This window comes from Homo sapiens, chromosome 4, assembly GCF_000001405.40.
Source record: "Homo sapiens chromosome 4, GRCh38.p14 Primary Assembly".
In the NCBI taxonomy this organism is placed as follows: domain Eukaryota; kingdom Metazoa; phylum Chordata; class Mammalia; order Primates; family Hominidae; genus Homo; species Homo sapiens.
Genome location: NC_000004.12, coordinates 92,423,568 through 92,446,361, shown reverse-complemented (window position 1 = coordinate 92,446,361; position 22,794 = coordinate 92,423,568). Strand labels below are relative to the sequence as shown.

Below are 22,794 nucleotides of genomic sequence, written 5' to 3'. Positions count from 1 at the left end.
CATTTATCTCAGAGTCAGACCTTGTGGTAGTTCTTTGCCACTCCAATTTGTTAGGGTCTCAATTTGGGTACCAAGAAGAGGTAAGAACATACAATTTAAATCAAATATGGGATAAAGCCAGGTGTGGAGGCTCAGGCCTGTAATCCCAGCACTTTGGGAAGTTGAGGTGGCCTGATCACTTGAGGTCAGGAGTTCGAGATCATCCTGGCCAACATAGTGAAACCCCGTCTCTACTAAAAATACAAAAATTAGACAGGGCATGGTGACGTAACCCTGTAGTCCCAGCTACTCCAGAGCTTGAGGCATGAGAATCGCTTGAACCCGGGAAGCAGAGGTTGCAGTGAGCCGAAATCAGTGCCACTGCACTCCAGCCTGGGCTACAGAGGGAGACTCTGTCTCAAAACAAACAAACAAAAAATATGAGATAAGAGTTTTATACTGATTTTAGTAACAAAACATTAGAAAAAATTAAAAATGTGTTCACAGTGACATTAAAGCATGGGAAATGATTAACAATAGCAGAGCTAAAAATGTTAATTGGAAAAAGTTTAGAATTACGCACTAACCAAGGTAAGATTATTCAATAAATAAATTACAACATAGAAATGCAGCCTACCTAAGATAGAATTTGTTATTTGGGGAACCACACCACGATGGGGCTAGTCTGTATCATAATCCCTTAGACCTCTTCCCATGGCTTGTTCCTAAATCAGCTCTCTCCTATGCTCTACTTGTTTCATGGGTTATTGGATTCAAGGGTAGCACCTTACATTTATCCCTGCCATATTTATTGTTGGATTTCCACCATTGCTCCTTTTGAATACCAAAACTGTCATTTTACATATCACTTTTTAAAACACTCTTTCAGCTGTATACAACATGAAAGTTTAATAAAATCTCCTTCAATATCTCCATGGCTGAAAAAGATTTCAAACAAATAATATAAACTTCAGGCAAAAGCCTTGAACCTTCACTGGAAGGCATCATCCTTCACTTTTATATGCTGATATGGTACTTGAAGGGTGAAGGCAAAGATTGTCAGGAATGATGCATCTCAATTGTTTAGCAGCACGACATTGTGATTATAAAACTAATTCTAGGGCAAGAGAGTCTGGGACTCAAATTACCCATCTGCTACTTGCTAGACTAATTTTACTCATCAATACAAGGGCAAAAATCAAATCATCTACTTTGTAGCACTGTTAACAAGATCAAATGAGTTAAGAGATGTGAAATAATTTGAAGAGTATCTAGCACATAATAAGCCTTATATAAATATTAAATATTTTTACTAGATGATGAGTGATCATGACTCGCTAAAGTCCAGATACATGATGTCTGCTACAGTTGCCTAATACCCAAAATCCTTTCACAAACAAACAAACAAATATGGCATACGTGACAAAACTTGTGATTTGTTAAGCCAATAATTTCTCATAGATTTGTCTGAAAAAAAAGTCTTCACTTTTTGAGAAAATATTTACCTATTTGTTTAAATACCAAAAGTGATACCAAAAATGTATCAATCCTCCAAAAATATGTAAGGGCAAAAATAAACATCTAAGTAAACCCACTGTCCACATGTGCTAAATTTTTAGGATATATTCTGGCATTTGTCATTTATTATGTTGCAGCAGAGACTTCTGTACGGATATTTAAAAAGAGAAGACAAACGCCCCCTTTTTACATTATATCCATAGTACGAAATGTCAGGCCTCTGAGCCCAAGCCAAGCCATTGCAACCCCTGTGACTTGCACCTATACTCCCAGATGGCCTAAAGTAACTGAAGAATCACAAAAGAAGTGAATATGCCCTGCCCCACCTTAACTGATGACATTCCACCACAAAAGAAGTGTAAATGGCCAGTCCTTGCCTTAAGTGATGACATTACCTTGTGAAAGTCCTTTTCCTGGCTCATCCTGGCGCCAAAAGCACCCCCACTGAGCACCTTGTGACCCCCACTCCTGCCCGCCAGAGAACAAACCCCCTTTGACTGTAATTTTCGTTTACCTACCCAAATCCTATAAAACGGCCCCACCCTTATCTCCCTTCACTGACTCTCTTTACGGACTCAGCCTGCCTGCACCCAGGTGAAATAAGCAGATGTGTCGCTCACACAAAGCCTGTTTGGTGGTCTCTTCACACAGACGCGCATGAATTTTGGTGCCATGACTCGGATCGGGGGACCTCCCTTGGGAGATCAATCCCCTGTCCTCCTGTTCTTTGCTCCGTGAGAAAGATCCACCTATGACCTCAGGTCCTCAGACTGACCAGCCCAAGGAACATCTCACCAATTTTAAATCAGTTAAGCGGCCTCTTCTGACTCTCTTCTCCAATCTCTCTCACTGTCCCTCAACCACTTTCTCCTTTCCACTCTTCAATCTCTCCCATCTCTTAATTTCAATTCCTTCCATTTTCTGGGAGAGACAAAGGAGATACATTTTATCTGTGGACCCAAAACTCTGGTGCCGGTCACAGACTGGAAAGGCAGCCTTCCCTTGGTGTTTAATCATTGCAGGGACGCCTCTCTGATTATTCAACCCACGTTTCAAAGGTGTCATACCACGCAGGGACGCCTGCCTTGGTCCTTCACCCTTAGCGGCAAGTCCTGCTTTTCTGGGGAAGGGGCAAGTACCCCAACCCCTTCTCTCCTTGTCTCTACCCCTTCTCAGCTTTTCCGGGCACAGGGCAAGTACTCCAACCCCTTCTCCTTCACTCTTAGCGGCAAGTCCCGCTTTTCTAGAGGAGAGGCAAGTACCCCAACCTCGTATCTCTGTGCCCCAATCACTTATTTCCACGTCCCGACCTCTTATCTCTGTGCCCCAACCCCTTTTCCCACTTTTCTGGAAGGTAAGAACCCCCAAACCCCTTCCCTCCGTTTCTCTACTCTCTCTTTTCTCTAGGCTTCCTTCCTTCACTATGGGCAACCTTCCACCCTCCATTCCTCCTTCTACTCCCTTGGCCTGTGTTCTCAAAAACTTAAAACCAATTCAACTCACACCTGACCTAAAACCTAAATGCCTTATTTTCTTCTGCAATGCCACTTGACCCCAATACAAACTCCACAGTAGTTCCAAATAGCCAGAAAATGGCACTTTGAATTTTTCCATCCTGCAAGATCTAAATAATTCTTGTCATAAAATAGGCAAACGGTCTGAGGTGCCTGACGTCCAGGCATTCTTTTACACATCAGTCCCTTCCTAGTCTCTGTGCCCAGTGCAACTCGTCCCAAATCTTCCTTCTTTCCCTCCTGCCTGTCCCCTCAGTACCAACCCCAAGCCTCGCTGAGTCTTTCTAATCTTCCTTTTCTACAGACCCATCTGACCTCTCCCTTCCTCCCCAGGCTGCTCCTCGCCAGGCCGAGCTAGGTCCCAATTCTTCCTCAGCCTCCGCTCCTCCACCCTATAATCTTTTTATCACCTCCCCTCCTCACACCTGGTCCGGCTTACAGTTTCCTTCCATGACTAGCCCTCCCCCTCCTGCCCAACAATTTACTCTTAAAAAGGTGGCTGGAGCTAAAGGCATAGTCAAGGTTAATGCTCCTTTTTCTTTATCCCAAATCAGATAGCGTTTAGGCTCTTTTTCATCAAATATAAAAATCCAGCCCAGTTCATGACTTGTTTGCCAGCAACCGAGACACTTTACAGCCCTAGACCCTAAAAGGTCAAAAGGCCATCTTATTCTCAATATACATTTTATTACCCAATCTGCTCCCAACATTAAATAAAACTCCAACAATTAAATTCCGGCCCTCAAACCCCACAACAGGATTTAATTAACCTCGCCTTCAAGGTGTACAATAATAGAAAAAAGTTGCAATTCCTTGCCTCCACTGTGAGACAAACCCCAGCCACATCTCCAGCACACAAGAACTTCCAAACGCCTGAACCGCAGCGGCCAGGCGTTCCTCCAGAACCTCCTCCCCAAGGAGCTTGCTACACTTGCCGGAAATCTGGCCACCGGGCCAAGGAATGCCCGCAGCCCGGAATTCCTCCTAAGCCGTGTCCCATCTGTGTAGGACCCCACTGAAAATCGGACTGTTCAACTCACCTGGGAGCCACTCTCAGAGCCCCTGGAACTCTGGCGCAAGGCTGTCTGACTCCTTCCCAGATCTTCTCGGCTTAGCGGCTGAAAACTAACACCGCCCGATCGCCTCGGAAGCCCCCTAGACCATCACGGACGCCAAGCTTCAGGTAACTCTCACAGTGGAAGGTAAGCCCGTCCCCTTCTTAATCAATATGGAGGCACCCACTCCACATTACCTTCTTTTCAAGGGCCTGTTTCCCTTGCCTCCATAACTGTTGTGGGTATTGACGGCCAGGCTTCTAAACCTCTTACAACTCCCCAACTCTGGTGCCAACTTAGACAATACTCTTTTAAGCACTCCTTTTTAGTTATCCCCACCTGCCCAGTTCCCTTATTAGGCTGAGACACTTTAACTAAATTATCTGCTTCCCTGACTATTCCTGGACTACAGCTGTATCTCATTGCCTCCCTTCTTCCCAATCCAAAGCCTCCTTTGCGTCCTCCTCTTGTATCCCCCCACCTTAACCCACAAGTATAAGATACCTCTACTCCCTCCTTGGCGACCGATCATGCACCCCTTACCATCTCATTAAAACCTAATCACCCTTACCCCACTCAATGCCAATATCCCATCCCTCAGCACGCTTTAAAAAGATTAAAGCCTGTTATCACTCGCCTGCTACAGCATGGCCTTTCAAAGCCTATAAACTCTCCTTACAATTCCCCCATTTTACCTGTCCTAAAACCAGACGAGCCTTACAAGTTAGCTCAGGATCTGCGCCTTATCAACAAAATTGTTTTGCCTATCCACCCCGTGGTGCCAAACCCATATACTCTCCTATCCTCAATACCTGCCTCTACTATCCATTATTCTGTTCTATATCTCAAACATGCTTTCTTTACTATTCCTTTGCCCCTTAATCCCAGCCTCTCTTCGCTTTCACTTGGACTGACCCTGACACCCATCAAGCTCCACAAATTACCTAGGCTGTACTGCTGCAAAGCTTCACAGACAGCCCCCATTACTTCAATCAAGCCCAAATTTCTTCCTCATCTGTTACCTATCTCGGCATAATTCTCATAAAAACACACGTGCTCTCCCTGCCAATCTTGTCCGACCGATCTCTCAAACCCAAACACCTTCTATAAAACAACAACTCCTTTCCTTCCTAGGCATGGTTAGTGCGGTCAGAATTCTTACACAAGAGCCAGGACCGCACCCTGTAGCCTTTCTGTCCAAACAACTTGACCTTACTGTTTTAGCCTAGCCCTCATGTCTGCATGCAGCGGCTGCCGCTGCTTTAATACTTTTAGAGGCCCTCAAAATCACAAACTATGCTCAACTCACTCTCTACAGTTCTCATAACTTCCAAAATCTATTTTCTTCCTCATACCTGATTCATATACTTTCTGCTTCCCGGCTCCTTCAGCTATACTCACTCTTTATTGAGTCTCCCACAATTACCGTTGTTCCTGGCCCAGACTTCAGCCTCCCACATTATTCCTGATACCACACTTGACCCCCATAACTGTATCTCTCTGATCCACCTGACATTCACCCCATTTCCCCAAATTTCCTTCTTTCCTGTTCCTCACCCTGATCACGCTTGATTTATTGATGGCGGTTCCACCAGGCCTAATCACCACACACCAGCAAAGGCAGGTTATGCTATAGTACAAGCCACTAGCCCGCCTCTCAGAACCTCCATTTCCTTTCCATCGTGGAAATCTATCCTCAAGGAAATAACTTCTCAGTGTTCCATCTGCTATTCTACTACTCCTCAGGGATTATTCAGGCCCCCTCCCTTCCCTACACATCAAGCTCGAGGATTTGCCCCACCCAGGACTGGCAAATTAGCTTTACTCAACATGCCCTGAGTCAGATAACTGAAATACCTCTTAGTCTAGGTAGACACTTTCACTGGATAGGTAGAGGCCTTTCCTACAGGGTCTGAGAAGGCCACCGCAGTCATTTCTTCCCTTCTGTCAGACATAATTCCTCAGTTTAGCCTTCCCACCTCAATACAGTCTGATAATAGACCAGCCTTTATTAGTCAAATCAGCCAAGCAGTTTTTCAGGCTCTTAGTATTCAGTGAAACCTTTATATCCCTTAAGGTCCTCCGTCTTCAAGAAAAGTAGAACGGACTAAAGGTCTTTTAAAAACACACCTCACCAAGCTCAGCCACCAACTTAAAAAGGACTGGACAATACTTTTACCACTTTCGTTTCTCAGAATTCAGGCCTGTCCTCGGAATGCTACAGGGTACAGCCCATTTAAGCTCCTGTACAGATGCTCCTTTTTATTAGGCCCCAGTCTCATTTGACACCAGACCAACTTAGACTGTGCCCCCAAAAAACTTGTCATCCCTACTATCTTCTGTCTAGTCATACTCCTATTCACCGTTCTCAACTACTCATACATGCCCTGCTCTTGTTTACACTGCCGGTTTACACTGTTTCTCCAAGCCATCACAGCTGATATCTCCTGGTGCTATCCCCAAACTGCCACTCTTAACTCTTGAAGTAAATAAATAATCTTTGCTGGCAGGACTATGCTGAATCTCCTTAGGCACTCTCTCATCAGATGTCCTGAGTCATCCCAATTCTTAAACCTTTTATGCCTGTTTTTCTCCTTCTGTTATTCCATTTAGTTTTTCAATTCGCACAAAACCGTATCCAGGCCATCACCAATCATTCTATACGACAAATGTTTCTTCTTACATCCCCACAATATCACCCCTTACCACAAGACCTCCCTTCAGCTTAATCTCTCCCACTCTAGGTTCCCACGCCGCCCCTAATCCCGCTTGAAGCAGCCCTGAGAAACATCGCCCATTCTCTCTCCATACCACCCCCTAAAAATTTTCACCACCCCAACACTTTAACATTATTTTGTTTTATTTTTCTTATTAATATAAGAAGGCGGGAATGTCAGGCCTCTGAGCCCAAGCCAAGCCATTGCAACCCCTGTGACTTGCACATATACGCCCAGATGGCCTGAAGTAACTGAAGAATCACAAAAGAAGTGAATATGCCCTGCCCCACCTTAACTGATGATATTCCACCACAAAAGAAGTGTAAATGGCCGGTCCTTGCCTTAAGTGATGACATTACCTTGTGAAAGTCCTTTTCCTGGCTCATCCTGGCTCAAAAAGCACCCCCACTGAGCAACTTGCAACCCCCACTCCTGCCCGCCAGAGAACAAGCCCCCTTTGACTGTAATTTTCCTTTACCTACCCAAATCCTGTAAAACGGCCCCACCCTTATCTCCCTTCGCTGACTCTCTTTTCGGACTCAGCCCACCTGCCCCCAGGTGAAATAAACAGCCATGTTGCTCACACAAATCCTGTTTGGTGGTCTCTTCACAGGGACGCGCATGAAATGCAAGACACCAGTGTTGGAGAGAAGGCAGGATATACTGTAACTATCTCACAGTGCTGGCAATAATCTAGAAAACCAAATGTTGATATTGTTTCATGGGATATTACATGAATAGATGCACAGGGGACATTGGTAAAAGAATAAGCATTCATGTATCTACAGATTTTCTTCTTGAGGGTTATATCAGATCAAAGAAGAGAATTCAAAAATACAACTTTCTCCTAGAACGACTGGGATTCTTCAGTTAAAAGAAGACACTAGTTAAATAGATTCCATGGTAGCCAACGAAGAGTTGGGAAAAACAGCACGAACATGTGCCCATGGCTAAAATACTAGTATAGAAACACACACACACACACACACACACACACACAGAAGGTAAACTGCCAAATGAATATTATTTTATAAAAATTAATAGAATCCTTACAGTATAATGCCAATATTGACTTTAGATGCCTCATCACATATACACTATTAAATAAAAACAAAGAAAATGACAAGAAAATTGGTGTTAGATATTAAGATAAAGGACAGGGATTATGGGAGCACAAAAAAAAATATGCGATAAGATGATAATCAATCATTGCATCTGAGTATATGTGCTCCGAGATTCCTGGCAGCCTATTTTTCTTTTAATGACAAATACATCATACTGTCCCTCTGCTTTCTTTTTTTAAAGTAAGCTTTGTGTGACATAGTTGGTTTAGTGTTTAGAAGCACAAACCAGCAGATAAATTGTATCCTGATATTAAGAGGAAAAAAAAAGGTGAGATATTCATGAAATTTATTGGCATACATTTTTATGTTATTTCTGGCATATGTACGTATAAAATAACTACAATACCAACGATGGAAAGTCATAAATAGTCTTAGGAAATACTTAACAGCCTTAAATACTCTTGGAGATTATTTATTGTGGCACACTAAGCCCAGCTAAAGTCCAATGAATAAAATCAGAAAAATGAACTTTAAAAAATGCATGTAATCTTGGCTCAAGAAAAAAATGCTAGTAAAAAGAGTTCAAAGAAAGACTGTATGGATCTGAAACTAATACTGAGATATAAATCATTTTAATAAGCAACAAAACATCTAAGCAATTTTGTTTTCTTTAGGTATTAATTCTTAAAGTGGTGGTTTACCTTGAGCCGAAGCAATCCAATTTATTGGAGCCTCAATATCCACAAGTTGCCATGTAGATGTAATATAGAAAGAAGGAAGTATTAAATGTGTTTTCATGTCTGAGTAATACCTTCTGTATATTGATTTTGTTAGTGAAACCTTTGAGGTTAAACAGAAAAGGACATATGAATAATCAAATATCAGCATATTAAAGACGTTGATTCCAGAACCACTCAAACATTTAATAATAGTCCTTTAAGCAGTCAGCTGGGCCCAGTAGCTCACGCCTGTAATCCCAGCACTTTGGAAGGCCAAGGCAGGCAGATCACTTGAGGCCAGGAGTTTGAGACCAGCCTGGGGAACAAGGCAAAACCCTGTCTACAAAAATTAGCTGGGCTATTTGAGGCATGCCTGTAATCCCAGCTTCATGGGAGGCCAAGACATGAGAATCGCTTGAACCTGGGTGGGGGAGGTTGCAATGAGCCAAAATTGTGCCACTGCACTCCAGGCTGGGCTACAGGGCGAGAATCTGTCTCAAAACAAAAACTAAAAATAAGCATTCCTAGAGAAATATAAATGAATCATTTTTTTTCCAATCATTCGTCGGTGAAATGCTAGTCATAGCCCAAGTTCAGTGCACCGAATATTTATTTTGAATTTAAAGAATCTTACAATTTAAAGTAAAATTTCTCTTTAATTGGTATAAGACCCACATGATTCAAATACGAACATCTTAGTCAATTATAGACACATAACTTATAAATTAACTAGAATCTGTCCTTCAAAATTTACTCACATTTTAAGAATTTATACATTTGTTTGAGTTGTTTAAAAATTGTTATAGCCAAATCTACAGCTAAATCAAACTTGCTAATATATTTTATACTATTGTATTTAGTACATAAAGCATTCATTACCTATTATTTCATATGATAAACATTATACACATAATTTTAAATAAATATGCCACTTATTGGCCCAACAGACATTATTCTTATATCATAAATAAATCATTCCTTAATAAATTATGAAAGTATCAGGCATTTAGGAGATTGTTTTCCTTTGTCTTCAATATTAAATGTATGTAGAAATAAGTCTAATATGTCTAATACATATTTAACACACATTTATAGCTACATATATACATTCACACACACAAGCAACCTAAGAGAGATTCCATAACCATTATGATGCAATGTATTATTCTTAATAATCTTCTAGTAGATAGCACTTGTTCAAGACTATCTGTACACTTCACAGTTAGAAAAACAAAATGATACTTATGTCAGTTAAACAAATTCAAAAATGTAAACAAACCAAAAAAAAGCTGAGAAAATTTAAATAGTAGTAGCATTTCATAAATAAAATAAAATCAGATGCCCAGAAATGTGTACTGAAATCTTTAGCCCTATAATAACAAATTGATTATAATTTAATATTGAAAATGGGAAAATGTCAAGACTTTTTTTATTGCCACATCTTTAGTATTTTGAGAAATTTTTAATTCATTGATATAGGATTCTCTGAATTTTTGGTAAGGTCAACATTTAGTGTTTTCATATTTACCTAGTTAAATGTTTGTTGCCCACACACAAAAGGTGTTTTAAATAATGATGGTTACCTGTACACATTGCCATTATTTATCCTCCAAGAATTATTAATTTAAAGGAAACTGAGAATTTAATAGAATAATTTTGCGGTACACTTTCATAGCATGTAGGATCCACCATTAGTAATATTCCTTTCACTATGAAGACATGGAATATAATCCTTAATTCCCATTAGTCAACAAAACTTCCTTGTGAAGTCTCATATGCCTGCTATTATCTTCTCACATGGCACACCAATTCCAGTCTCTAAAACTATACCAAACAATCTCAGATACAACAACAAAATCTATCATAAGGTCCAAAGGAAATGCAAGGATAAAAAGAACGTAGTCTGTCAAGCTACTCTGATAAAATCTCTCTATGCAATATTCCTGACAAATATATCCTATGTCTAGATACTTCCAGTGATGGAGAACAAACCACTTCTTGAGGCAGACAATTCCAGAATCAATCACAGAGAGTTCTTCCTCACAATGAGTTAGTCTTCCTCACTACACTTTCATCCATGGACCCTAGTACTCTTCTCTGCAATGGCATGGAAAACCTAAAGTACATTTTATATGAAAGCTCGGAAAGTTCTTGTAGAAAATAGTGAAAAGCTTTTCTTCTCTAGGCTCAACATGCTAGCACCTTCAATCAGTCATCGTATGTTGTGATTCACATAGTCTCACTCTGGTTTATTGTATTCCAGACAGGGTCTCATTCCAGACAGACTCAAGTAGGGTATGACATAAATGAAGAAGGGAACTATTATCTACTCTGTTCTAGACAGATGAATACTCATGACACTTGTAGCACATTCTTCCACTGTAAAAGGCACATCTATCTTCTTCACATCTCCCCCATCATCTCCATGGATACTGCTTCCAGTTAAGTTTGACCCTTTCTGTTTTGAATAGTTACATTTTACTATTTTCTGTCATAAACTCCTTCGATCACAAAGCTACACTCAGGTTGAAATAATTTACATACCCTATAAGGAAATTTGTGAAATGTCCCAAGGATCTTATCAACCCTGATAATGAAAACACAAATCCGGTTTGGTGGCCCAGGAACAGAAAGAAACCTCTAGGAAAACTGCAGATGGGGTGCCCACTTACATAGGGCTCAGTAAATATTAAAAATGAAGAGGTACATAATCCTGTGTAAATGAAACATAGAAGATATACTGCTATCATAAAGACATAATAATCTTGGATATAAATATGCATTTTCCTACTCTATTTAGCCTTCATAGTATAAAAGTAAGAATACTAACATTTGAATTGTTGAATTCCATTCCCATGTGATCAACGACAGCAAGTAATCTTCTATTTTTAAATATTCGAATTTTCTACAGCATTATAGGGATTAAGGGGTGCTAAATTTTCATATGAGCATTTTCTCACATATCCAGTAGGAAATACAGTTGACTTCAGAGAGACCTATCAAATTATATCTATCTATCTATATATTATATTAATTTCCCTTTTGGAAAAATTTGTATTATTAGAAAATGCTTTATTTAATTTGCTATTCATTTTTCAAATATATTAGAAGTTATTTAAACCACCAAAACTGATATATGTGAAAATTAAATAATATAAAATTACCCTATCTCTATTCTATTTAATTGACCTCCAAAGGAGGTCAGGATAGCTTCAAATTAAGCTGTTGTCCTTTCTAGGCTCTCTATTTTTGACCTAAATATATGACACCTATAATCTCATTTGGATTATCTTTTAAGTCCTGTGGTCTGACTTTAACTGACATTAGAATTTACCATAGGCGCAAGGAAAACAGCAGAATTCCGAATGCATTGTTAGGTTATGTTTAACGCCATTTAAGAGAACATTGTTTCAGAAATAAAAAAGCTACTTCAAATCCCAAATATACACATACTCCTTGATCCAGTCAGTGAGGAAATGCCTCTGTTACACTCTACAAACTTATAAAATTGCTTTGGCTGGACCATCTTTTGCTGTGTGGCCATCAGAGACTACACGCAAAAAAAACAGTCCATGAAAACCACTGTGGAATCGCCTGAAAGGATGTTGCTGAGAATAATTGTATTATGTCACACAGTGTCTGGAATAGCCGCTCCACTTGGAAAATTTCTACTCTGATATTACTACTGAAGAAAACTGAGAACAACGTATTATCTCAAAGAATAACTGGTTGTTTTAAATTTACGGACATCGTGAATTGTGTAACAATTTTGACGTGGGTTTATAGAAAACTGAAAGTTAAATCCATGATCCCACTGTGTAAAGTATATGATATGCATTATTGGCCTCATTCTAGGTTCTTCTTTTTTATTTATTCTTATTTCTGTTCTTGCTTGCTCTCTTTTAATTTTCATTAAATATGTGTATGTTATCTTTTAAGGAAGGTGACAAACTAATTACTGATTTGATAAATTAAAATATGATTTTAGGAAAGGTAGGTAGAGCAAGATGGCTGAATAGAACCCTTCAGTATTCATCCTCCCCACAGGAACACCTATCTACATAAGAAAGCACCTCCATAAGATACAAAAATCAGGTGATCAATCACAGTACCTGGTTGTAACATTATATTGAGGACAGAGGCACTGAAGGGGGTGGAAAGACAGTCTTGAATTGCTAATGCCACCCCTCCCCAACTCCCCAGCAGCAGGTGGGGAGAGAATCTGTGTGCTTGCAATGATTGTGGGACTTGGCATTGGAACTCAGTGTGTCTGTTCCAGCAGAAAGCAACACAGGGCAAAATTCAGCTGGCACCCACAGAGGAAGCACTTAGATGAGACCTAGCCAGAGGGGAATCATCCATCCCAGCAGTCGGAACCTAAGTTCTGGCAAGCACCGCCATTGCAGGCTAAAGCACTCTGGCAACCTACATAAACTTGAAAGGCGGTCTAGGCCGCAAGGACTGCAATTCCTGAGCACAGCTTAGTGCTGTGCTGGGCCCAGAGCCAGTGGACTTGAGGTGTACATGACATAGTGAGGCACTGCCTTGGGTGACTGAGGGAGTCCTTGTGTCACCCTCCCCCAACCCCATGCAGTACAGCTTGCAGCTCTGGGAGAGTCTCCTTCCTTCTACTTGAAGAGAGGATAGGGGAGAGTAAACAGGATTTCGTCTTGGAACTTGGATACCAGCTCAGCCACATTTGAATAGGACACCAGGCAGAGTCCAGAGGCCCCCATCCCAGGTCCCAGCGCCTGGATGATACTTCTAGACACACCCTGAACAAAAAGGAAAGCTGCTACTCCTAAGGGAAGGACCGTTTTTGGAAGGATTCATCACCAGCTGAATAAAGAGCCCTTGGGCTTTGAGTAAACATCAGCAGATGAAGGCAATACTCATTGCAGGCCTTGGGGGAGACCTAGTACCCTGCTGGCTTCAGGTGTGACCCAGCACATTCCCAGCTGCGGTGGCTATGGGGAAAGGCTCCTTCTGTTTGAGGAAAGAAGAGGGAAGAGTAAAGGGGACTTTATATTGAAGCTTGAGTAGCAGCTCAGCCACAGTTGTGTAGAGTACTAAGCAGGCTCATGGGGTTCCTGATTCCAGGCCTTAGCTACTGAATGGCATTTCTGGACTTGCACTGTGCCACAGGGGAGCCCACTTCAGTGAAGAGAGAGACTCAGGCCTGACAGTGTTTACTACAAGCTGACTGAAGAGCACTGGGCCTTGAGTGAACATCAGCAGTAGCCAAGTAGTACCCCACAGGCCTGGAGTAGTGGTGGCCATGAGGAAAGACTCCTCCTGCTTGAAGAAAGGAGAGGAAAGAGTGGGAAAGCCATTGTCTTTCAGGTTGGCTGTCAGTTCAGAAGCAGCAGAATAAAGCACCAAGTAGATTCCTAAGGTTTGTGACTCAGGCCTTGGTCCCCAAACGGCATTTCTGGACCCACCCTGGGCCAGCTGGAACTCCCTACCCTGAAGGAAAGGACACCAGCCTGCATGGATTCACCACCTGCTAACTAAAGAACCCTTGGGCCTTAAATGACCATCAGTAGTAGCCAGGCAGTGGTCGCCATGGGCCTTAGGAGAGACCCAATACTGTGTTGGCTTTAGGTATGACCCAGAGCAGTCCTAGTGGTGGTGGCCACAAAGATGCTTGTGTCACTCCTCCCCTAGCTCCAGGCAAATCAGCATGAAAAGAGAGACTCTGCTTGTTGAGGGGAAAGTAAGGGAAAAGAACAAGATTCCCCGCCTGGTAAACCAGGCAGTTCACCTGGATTTCATTCAAGACCACCAAAGTGGTATCTCTACAAGTGTGCAAGAGTCACAGCATTACTGGGCTTGGGGTTCCCCCAATGCAGACACAATTACAGTGATGACCAAAGACTTAGATTATAACATGCAATTCTATTTGACTATTTGGAAAGCCTTTTCCAGAAGAATGGGTACAAACAAGCATAAACTGTGAACACTACAATAAATACCTAACTCTTCAATGCCCAGAAATCAGTGAACATCCACGAGCATCAAGAGTAAAACATGACTTCACCAAATGAACTAAATAAGGCATCAGAAACCAATCTGGGGGAGACAGAGAATTCAAACTGGCTGTTTTGAGGAAGCTAAATGAAATTCAAGATAACATAGAGACGGAAAGTCTTTTTTTCTGGAAAGTCTTTCTTATTCATGTTTGAAGGATATTACACTGTTATTAAAAAAAAAAAAAAAGACACGTCAAACAATAAATAAATAAAACTACAGGCCAATATCCCTGTTGAACACTGATGCAAAAATCCTCAATAAAATACTAGTAAATTCAACAATATATTAAAAAATCATTTATCATGACCAAATGGGTTTATCCCAGAGATGCAAGGATGATTCAACATTTGCAAATCGATGTGATACATCATATAAACAGAATGAAGGGCAAAATCAATATGATCATTTCAATAGATGCCTAAAAAGTGTTTGATAAAATTCAACATCCCTTCATGACAAAAACCATCAAAAAACTGGGGATAGATAAAATATACTGCAATACAATACAAGCCATATATGACAAATCCACAGCTAGTATCAAATTGAATGAGAAAAATCTAAAGCCCTTCCTTTAAGATCTGGAATATGACAAGGATGCCCACTTTCACCACTTGTATTCAACATTGTACTGGAAGTGCTAGCTAGAGCAATCAGACAAGAGAAATATATAAAGGGTCATCCAAATTCTAAGGAATTAGTTAAATTATCCTCGTTTTCAGCTTATATGATCTCATATTTGGAAAAACCTAATGAGTCCACAAGAAAACTATTAGAACTGATAAACAAATTCAGTAAAGTTGCAAGACAAAAAAGTCAACATACAAAATTCAGCAGCATATGTATATACCAACAGCAAACAATCTGAAAAAGGAATCAAGAAAGTAATCCCATTTACAACAGCTACAAATAAAATAAAATAACAGAGAATAAACTTAACCAAAGAAGTGAAAGATCTGTACAAGGAAAACTGTAAAACATTGATGCAAGTAACTGAAGAAGACACAAAAAACGGAGATATTCAATGTTCATGGATTAGAAGTATCAATATTGTTTAAAAGTCCATACTACCCAAACTAATCCATATATTCAATGCAATCCCTATCAATATACCAATGACATTCATCAGAGAAATAGAAAAAATAATCCTGAAATGTATAGAGAATCACAAGACACAGGATAGCTAAAGCTATCCTAAGCAAAAAGAGAAAAACTTTAAAAATCACATCACCTGACTTTAAATAATACTACAGAGCTATTGTAACTGGAACAGCATGGTACTGGCATAAAAACAGACACATGGACCAATAGAACAGAATAGAGAACCAAGAACCAAAACAAATCCATACATCTACAGTGAACTCATTTTCAACAAAGATGCCAAAAATATACTTTGGAGAAAAGAAATTCTCTTCAATAAATGGTGCTGGGAAAACTAGATATTCATATGCAGAAAAATGAAACTACCCCTATCTCTCACCACATACAAAAATAAAACCAAAATGGATTGAAGGATTAAATCTAAGACCTCAACCTCTGAAATTACCACAAGAAAACATGGGGGAAACTTTCCACGACATTGGTCTGTGCAAAAATTTATTGAGTAATACCCCACAAGCACAGACAACCAAAGCAAGAATGAACAAATTTGATCACATCAAGTTAAAAAGCATCTGCACAGAAAAGGATACAATCAAAAAAGTGAAGAGACAACTCACACAATGGGAGAAAATATTTGCAAACTATCAATCTGACAAGAGATTAATAACCAGATATATAAGGAGTTCAGACAACTCTATAGGAAAAAATCTAATAATCTGATTTAAAAAACTAGGCAAAAGATCTGAATAGACATTTCTCAAAAGAAGATATACAAACAACAAACAGGTACATGAAAAGGTGCTCCATATCATTGATCATCAAGGAAATGCAAATCAACACTACAATGATCTATCATCTCCCTCCAATTAAAATGGCTTATATCCAAAAGACAGGCAATAATGAATGCTGGCGAGGGTGTGGAGAACACAGAATGCTTGTACACTTCTGCTGGGGACTAAATTACATTAGTACAGCCACTATAGAGAGCAATTTAGAGGTTCCTCATAAAACTAAAAATAGACTACCATATGATCTAGCAATCTCACTGCTGGATTCCTTTCCAAAAGAAAGGAAATTAGTATATCAAAGAGATATCTGCACTCTTATATTTATTGTAACACTATTCACAATAGCCAAGATTTGGAAGCAACCTAAGCTCTTCATCAACAGATGAAAGGACAAAGAAAATGCAGTACACATACAGAATGGGGTACTATTCGGGCATAAAAGAGAATTAAGTTCTTGTCATTTGCAATGACATGGATGGAATGAAAGGACATTACATTAAGTGAAATAAGCCAGGCGCAGAAAGACAAAGTTCACATGTTCTCACTCATGTGAGATCTAAAACTTAAAACAATTGAACTTATGAAGACAGAAAATAGAATATTTACAAGAGGCTGGGATATTGGATATTTGAATGAAATAATGGACACTGCATTTACCCTGATGTGCTTATTATGCATTGTAGGCTTGCATCGAAATATCTCATGCACCCCATCAATGTATACACCTTCATTCTCAGCAGATTAACACAAGAACAGAAAACCAAACACAGCATGTTCTCATTCATAAGTGGGAGTTGAACAATGAGAACATGGACACAGGAAGAGGAATATCACACACTGGGGCCTGTCGGGGGGTGGAGGTAAGGGAGGGATAGCATTAGAAGAAATAGCTAATGTATATGACGGGTTGATGGGTACAGCAAACCACCATGGCACATGTATACCTAAGTAACAAACCTGCACGTTCTGCACATGTATCCCAGAACTTAAAGTATAATTTAAAAAAAATGTTTGTGGAACATGTATATAAATAAATTCATAATGTTTTCAAAAAAATGTACACACCTACTGTGCATGCATAAAAATAAAAAATACTAGTTTAACTATCATGGAAGTGGCATAATAAAATAAACATTAAAAGATAGGAAATGTAGGTCTTAGCTTCACAAAATGTCTCTGACATCCATGTGTTTAATTTCTAAAATATGGTAAATAAAATGTAAGTTAGTTTACTTACATGTTCTTATTAGCAAAAAACATAATAGTTATAACTTAATACTCAAAGCAAAATGTTCAATAAAAAGAAAATTATGATAAATGCTATCTCTTCTTAATATCACAGGGAAAGAATATACGGGAATATACCAATTGTCCACAAGGAAAAAATAAACCTGTTATAGTTCTATTCTCTTTTGTTTTCCTTACTGAAAATTTAGAAACTGTAACAGGATTACCGAAGGAAATATCAGAAGTTAAGAGAGAAAAAAGAAAACAAAAGAATAAGAATTAAAGATGAATTTCTTACAATGCCTCCAGTAAATTCTTTAGAAACTTGAAAAATAAATGCCAAACAAAATGTTTTTCAAAACTATTATTATTATTATTATTATTACTTTGTGAGGAGTCTCGTTCTGTTGCCCAGGCTGGAGTGCAGTGGCGTGATCTCAGCTCACTGCAAGCTCCGCCTCCCGGGTTCATGCCATTCTCCTGCCTCAGCCTCCTGAGTAACTAGGACTACAGGCACCCCTCACCACGCCCGGCTAATTTTTTGTATTTTTAGTAGAGACGGGATTTCACCGTGTTAGCCAGGATGGTCTTGATCTCCTGACCTCATGATCCGCCCGCCTCAGCCTCCCAAAGTGCTGGGATTACAGGCATGAGCCACCGTGCCTGGCCCAAAACTATTATTTTTATTAGCATTAATCAAATATTGAAAACAAAATAATTCTAATCTCCAAAGAAGCACAGAGTAGATTGTTTCCCTAGCAATAGCTTGATTTTTGGTAAGTCTTTCGAATATTTTCTATTTTTCAATTAGAGTAGAAAACACAACAAAAACTTTGCATTCATTAAGATAAGAAAATCTATAAAACTTATTTACAATAAAACTTTGTACTGTGTTGGGCTTATTATATTCATTTAATTAAACTTAACCAACTGAAACCAAGATAACTTGGTCTATTCGCTCTATTTGTTAACATTTTGTTGCTATTTTGATAAAATGTTCTAGTTGCTACCTTTTAAAAAGTCATCTCCTTATCATGATCTCTTTATTTACATTTTCTTAAAAATTGAATTTTCCATCTACAATTATAATAAGGCAAAATAGAAGGTCTAGGGACCATTCATTGTACTAGCTTTTCCTAGTATATTTTTCTATATAACATCTGAGATGGACTGAAAATACAGCATTTAACAACAAGAAAACAGTTTTTTATCAATAATGTGGGTTGCAATTTAGTCCATAACTCAACAAACCTATGTTTGTATGCTATCTTTTTCATTTTCATGGGGCTGTTTATCCCAACCCCTTCATTTATTCATTCATTCATTCATCAAAATATATTTGTCATACGTTTTAGGGAACATAATAGATCAAGAATGTCGTCTAAATACTGATAAGGTCCCATAATTGGAACCCACTAAAGCCAAACCCAATATGAAAGAATACAAGATTAACTAATACAAGAATGAAAATGTATGTATTATTTGGAGCATCCTTCTGATATTTTGAGCCGGATCAGAGTATAGGAAGTTAGTAAGACATTAAGCCAAAAATAGAACAAACACATAAAAGCCTGAATTCAAGTCCACTATTTAATAATTCAATGTGATCTGAGTTCCTAGTAGGTGAGATTGAAGGGAAATGACATTAACCCAGTGATTTTGATACCATTGGTCAAAAACCTGTGTCCTGACACTAACACACATAGGTATGCTCACCCTCCTCCATTTTAAAACATGAGCCCTTGGATGGCTCACCTACTAAATATGATTTTCATGTCAGATAATCTAGGAAGGTTTCTTCTAGGAGGTGACCTTATGCTTTTTGCATTTCTAGGGTTTATATAGTAATAAAAGAGAGAGAAGGTCCCTTCAGGTCCATGAACAAATGCTTGTATCAGTGGAAAGAAAAGGTGAAAAAAATGTATGTGATAATTTCACATAATATATAATAAACAGTTTTTCAACAAATCAAAGGAAAGATATTTGCTCTTGTTCTTTGTGATTGTATTTCCAAAGGGGAAGCATTTCATACTGTTGCTCTTCATATACTTGAGTATCTACAGAACCTCACTTAAGCAGTATCTTCTGGATTTAGATGAAGCTATCATTTCTGTGTATCTGAAGGTTGCACTATGTTTGTAATTCCTTGTTTTAGCATTAATACTGATTGCTGCTGTCATTTAAAATGGACAGACTAGATCAGGTAGACATCTACAATTATTGGTTATTCCCAACTGTGTTACATTATTTATCACATCCTTAAGCAAAGCATATACCTTTTCTACCCTGAATACCATTTTCCTGCTTTAGCTCATCACATGAAAGTTCTTTGTATATCATGTTACCATATATTCCGTGGACCAAGAAGTCCTAGGAATTTGTGTTATTCTAGGTATTTCAGTATTGGTGGTCAGAGAATGACCCAAGGTCTTATTATTAGTTATAGTTTCATTAAATGTGACATAACTTTGGACATATGAAACTGATCAAATATCTGAGAAAACTACATGCCAGAGATGTATGAAGTACAAGTTACCATAGAAAGCCTGAACTGTGTGTTTGAATCATAAAGTATTCATTGCATTGTACTATGCATACAGCAGTTGCTCAGGTGTCCAAGTGAGATGTTAAAGAGAAAGAAAGTAGGTGGGATTAGGTTATCTTTCAGAGGCTAAGGAAGAGAGAGCTATAGAAAGCTAAAGAAGATAGAGGATAATTTTCCTGATTAAAAAATACAAATAATAATAACACCTAATACATATTGAGTAGTTACAGATTGGTCAATGCTTTAAATATATTAATTTGCATAACCACCTTGTAAGTTAGTTGGCATTTTTCATCTCTTTCATAAATTATTAAATGAAGGTACAGAGAAGTTGATTACTTTATCTTAAATCACACAGCTGGGACATAATGGTGCCAGAATTTAAACTAGGCAATCTAACTACAGTCTATTTTGGCACTTCAGTAATGCCTGCCCAATCCATGTGGGAAAGTAGGCAGTTGCCTAGACAGAATAAGCTACACAAACATACTACAGAAGAGGTGGTCAGAAGTAAAACACTATATAATATGGATTACCTTATTTTGCTACTATGTGTCCTAAACAGCACCCTTTTCAACCTTGAGAAGAAATCATCGTTTCATGAAATATCCAGCTAAAGTATAAAAGTTCAAGCAAGTAAAATATTGTGATGCAAGTTAAAATTTCACTTTGTGGTGATCAGTCGCTAGCTAACACTTGTTTTCTTGTTTTTATTCCATTGTGTTTTTGTGCTTGTGTTTGACATTTTTTGGCAGTCTTGTTAATTAAGCAGAAGTTATCCCTGATTAATGTAGTATGAGCTGTTCCTAAAGTACTATAAATAATGCAGTGATTAATTGCCATATCTAAACGAGCCACCCTTTAGCACACTTCAAAGATGGATTTTCTTGGTTGTATTTGCTGTCGTCTACTTAATAATGATACTCATGTGGAAAAAAATCATCTTCCTTACTTCTCTTTCTACAGAAAATTGTATTTAAACTATTTGAAATAATTCTTTTGGCTTGGTAGTCAAGAAAATTCATCTTATAATTATTATAATAACCTAAAAGATTCTGCTGAATTCAACACAATTAAAAATTTAACTGCCTTAAAAATGTTTAATAACAATACAAGACTTAATTTTAACATTTGAAATATAATTTAGATAGTCATGAGAACTATGTTTTTTCCATTCATTAAATTATTTTATCCTAGTAAATACTTAATAATGATTATTAGCTCCTCTGGTTACAAGCAACTTTTGAATTTTTGTTTAATCAGAGGAGTATAAAAAGTAGTATTTTTTGTTGTTAGGACTGCTGTTGTAAATAGACAATTTTTATTGAAATATCAGAAGAAACTAGAAGCTTGTCCTTGTGGTTTTTTTTTTTCAGTTCAAAAGCCTATTATTACCCTATAGAAATAGTGAGAAATATTGTTAAATTGACTCACTTATTGATGTTGAGATTTTTATTTCTCATATTCATTACACTGAGGGTTTTGTAAATTTTAGTTCTTTTATAGATGTTTTATAGTTATTCCTAACTACCACATGTTGGTGGCTTATGTGTCATTGTTCATAAAATATTACTTCCAGTTTATCACTGTAGTCATCATCATGAGCATTTCTTGACTACCAAAATATTTCTCACTCCCAAAAGTTTGGAACTTAATTTAAAAATCCAATTTATTTTATCCAAAGGAGTTGGTCATCCTGTCATATCAACTACGATCACAGGGAACTTGGAGTATTGTCCAGTTGTAAGTTTAACATCCCAAGGAATATAGAAAAATATAATACATGGTATCATATGTTTCCCACATATGAACAGGAAGAGAAAGAAGTACAGGTCCTTTGAAGAAAGAATAACTCTTTCCTTTGCAATAATTATCAAACTCCTAGTTGAGAGAATTTTGTGGAAGATTACCTGAAATAAATGAAGTTTATCTTGGATCAAGACAGACTACTAGAGAATTAAGAACTTGTATAAAACTGCTTGGGTCCCTGTAGGACTGTTTTTATTGAATTTCATTTCAGTAACATAATGTCACAAGAATTCCAAATATCACTTGCCATACTATGTAATATCATCTCAGACAATTCAAAGGAAATTGGTTTAACACTACTTGAAGAGCATAGAAGCCCAGAGCCTTCGCAAATATTTTCAGAGCAATTCTTCCTTTTCCATTTCTCTTTTTTATTTTTTAATTTATGAATATTATAAATCTTCTAACAATTTGACTAATTGTGTTGCTCCTCTTGTTTTGGACACTGCAAAAAAATCTGCAGCTCATCTTCATCATCATTTCTTTTTAATACACCTGTGCTAACTTACTTTCGGCTACAAAATTTAACTACCCTGGTTCTCTCTTGCACCCAACTACCCTCTGTTTGCATTTTATTCTGGAGTGCCAAAAGTATTATTGAACATCAGCTCAAATCTGTTGTGAAGGAAAATAGGATATAAATCAGGTTATGCATAAGAAGCATTACTCCCTCCAGGTAAGCATATGCCATAAGAATGTAACAACACTTCTCTTATTAAGTTGTACAC

General features: G+C 38.3%; 1 protein-coding gene across 5 annotated transcripts in view, besides 8 other annotated features; it reads right to left on the bottom strand.

The window, feature by feature from the left end:
- The window catches only part of GRID2 (glutamate ionotropic receptor delta type subunit 2), a 1,506,491-nt gene that overhangs the window by 1,364,095 nt on the left and 119,602 nt on the right, over positions 1-22,794 (bottom strand). The gene's annotated exons all lie outside the window — the stretch shown is intronic.
- Positions 569-1,461: an enhancer, noted in NCBI's record as "OCT4-NANOG hESC enhancer chr4:93366052-93366944 (GRCh37/hg19 assembly coordinates)". NCBI's record gives its function as "activates a minimal SCP1, AML or CMV promoter by ChIP-STARR-seq in naive H9 embryonic stem cells {active_cell/tissue: H9 hESC(naive)}" and the evidence as "EXISTENCE:reporter gene assay evidence [ECO:0000049][PMID:30033119]".
- Positions 1,462-2,355: an enhancer, noted in NCBI's record as "OCT4-NANOG-H3K27ac hESC enhancer chr4:93365158-93366051 (GRCh37/hg19 assembly coordinates)". NCBI's record gives its function as "activates a minimal SCP1, AML or CMV promoter by ChIP-STARR-seq in naive and primed H9 embryonic stem cells {active_cell/tissue: H9 hESC(naive and primed)}" and the evidence as "EXISTENCE:reporter gene assay evidence [ECO:0000049][PMID:30033119]".
- Positions 5,037-5,930: an enhancer, noted in NCBI's record as "H3K27ac hESC enhancer chr4:93361583-93362476 (GRCh37/hg19 assembly coordinates)". NCBI's record gives its function as "activates a minimal SCP1, AML or CMV promoter by ChIP-STARR-seq in primed H9 embryonic stem cells {active_cell/tissue: H9 hESC(primed)}" and the evidence as "EXISTENCE:reporter gene assay evidence [ECO:0000049][PMID:30033119]".
- Positions 5,931-6,824: an enhancer, noted in NCBI's record as "OCT4-NANOG-H3K27ac hESC enhancer chr4:93360689-93361582 (GRCh37/hg19 assembly coordinates)". NCBI's record gives its function as "activates a minimal SCP1, AML or CMV promoter by ChIP-STARR-seq in primed H9 embryonic stem cells {active_cell/tissue: H9 hESC(primed)}" and the evidence as "EXISTENCE:reporter gene assay evidence [ECO:0000049][PMID:30033119]".
- Positions 6,825-7,719: an enhancer, noted in NCBI's record as "OCT4-NANOG-H3K27ac hESC enhancer chr4:93359794-93360688 (GRCh37/hg19 assembly coordinates)". NCBI's record gives its function as "activates a minimal SCP1, AML or CMV promoter by ChIP-STARR-seq in naive and primed H9 embryonic stem cells {active_cell/tissue: H9 hESC(naive and primed)}" and the evidence as "EXISTENCE:reporter gene assay evidence [ECO:0000049][PMID:30033119]".
- Positions 8,916-9,427: an enhancer, noted in NCBI's record as "H3K27ac hESC enhancer chr4:93358086-93358597 (GRCh37/hg19 assembly coordinates)". NCBI's record gives its function as "activates a minimal SCP1, AML or CMV promoter by ChIP-STARR-seq in naive H9 embryonic stem cells {active_cell/tissue: H9 hESC(naive)}" and the evidence as "EXISTENCE:reporter gene assay evidence [ECO:0000049][PMID:30033119]".
- Positions 12,384-13,316: an enhancer, noted in NCBI's record as "NANOG-H3K27ac hESC enhancer chr4:93354197-93355129 (GRCh37/hg19 assembly coordinates)". NCBI's record gives its function as "activates a minimal SCP1, AML or CMV promoter by ChIP-STARR-seq in primed H9 embryonic stem cells {active_cell/tissue: H9 hESC(primed)}" and the evidence as "EXISTENCE:reporter gene assay evidence [ECO:0000049][PMID:30033119]".
- Positions 13,317-14,249: an enhancer, noted in NCBI's record as "H3K27ac hESC enhancer chr4:93353264-93354196 (GRCh37/hg19 assembly coordinates)". NCBI's record gives its function as "activates a minimal SCP1, AML or CMV promoter by ChIP-STARR-seq in primed H9 embryonic stem cells {active_cell/tissue: H9 hESC(primed)}" and the evidence as "EXISTENCE:reporter gene assay evidence [ECO:0000049][PMID:30033119]".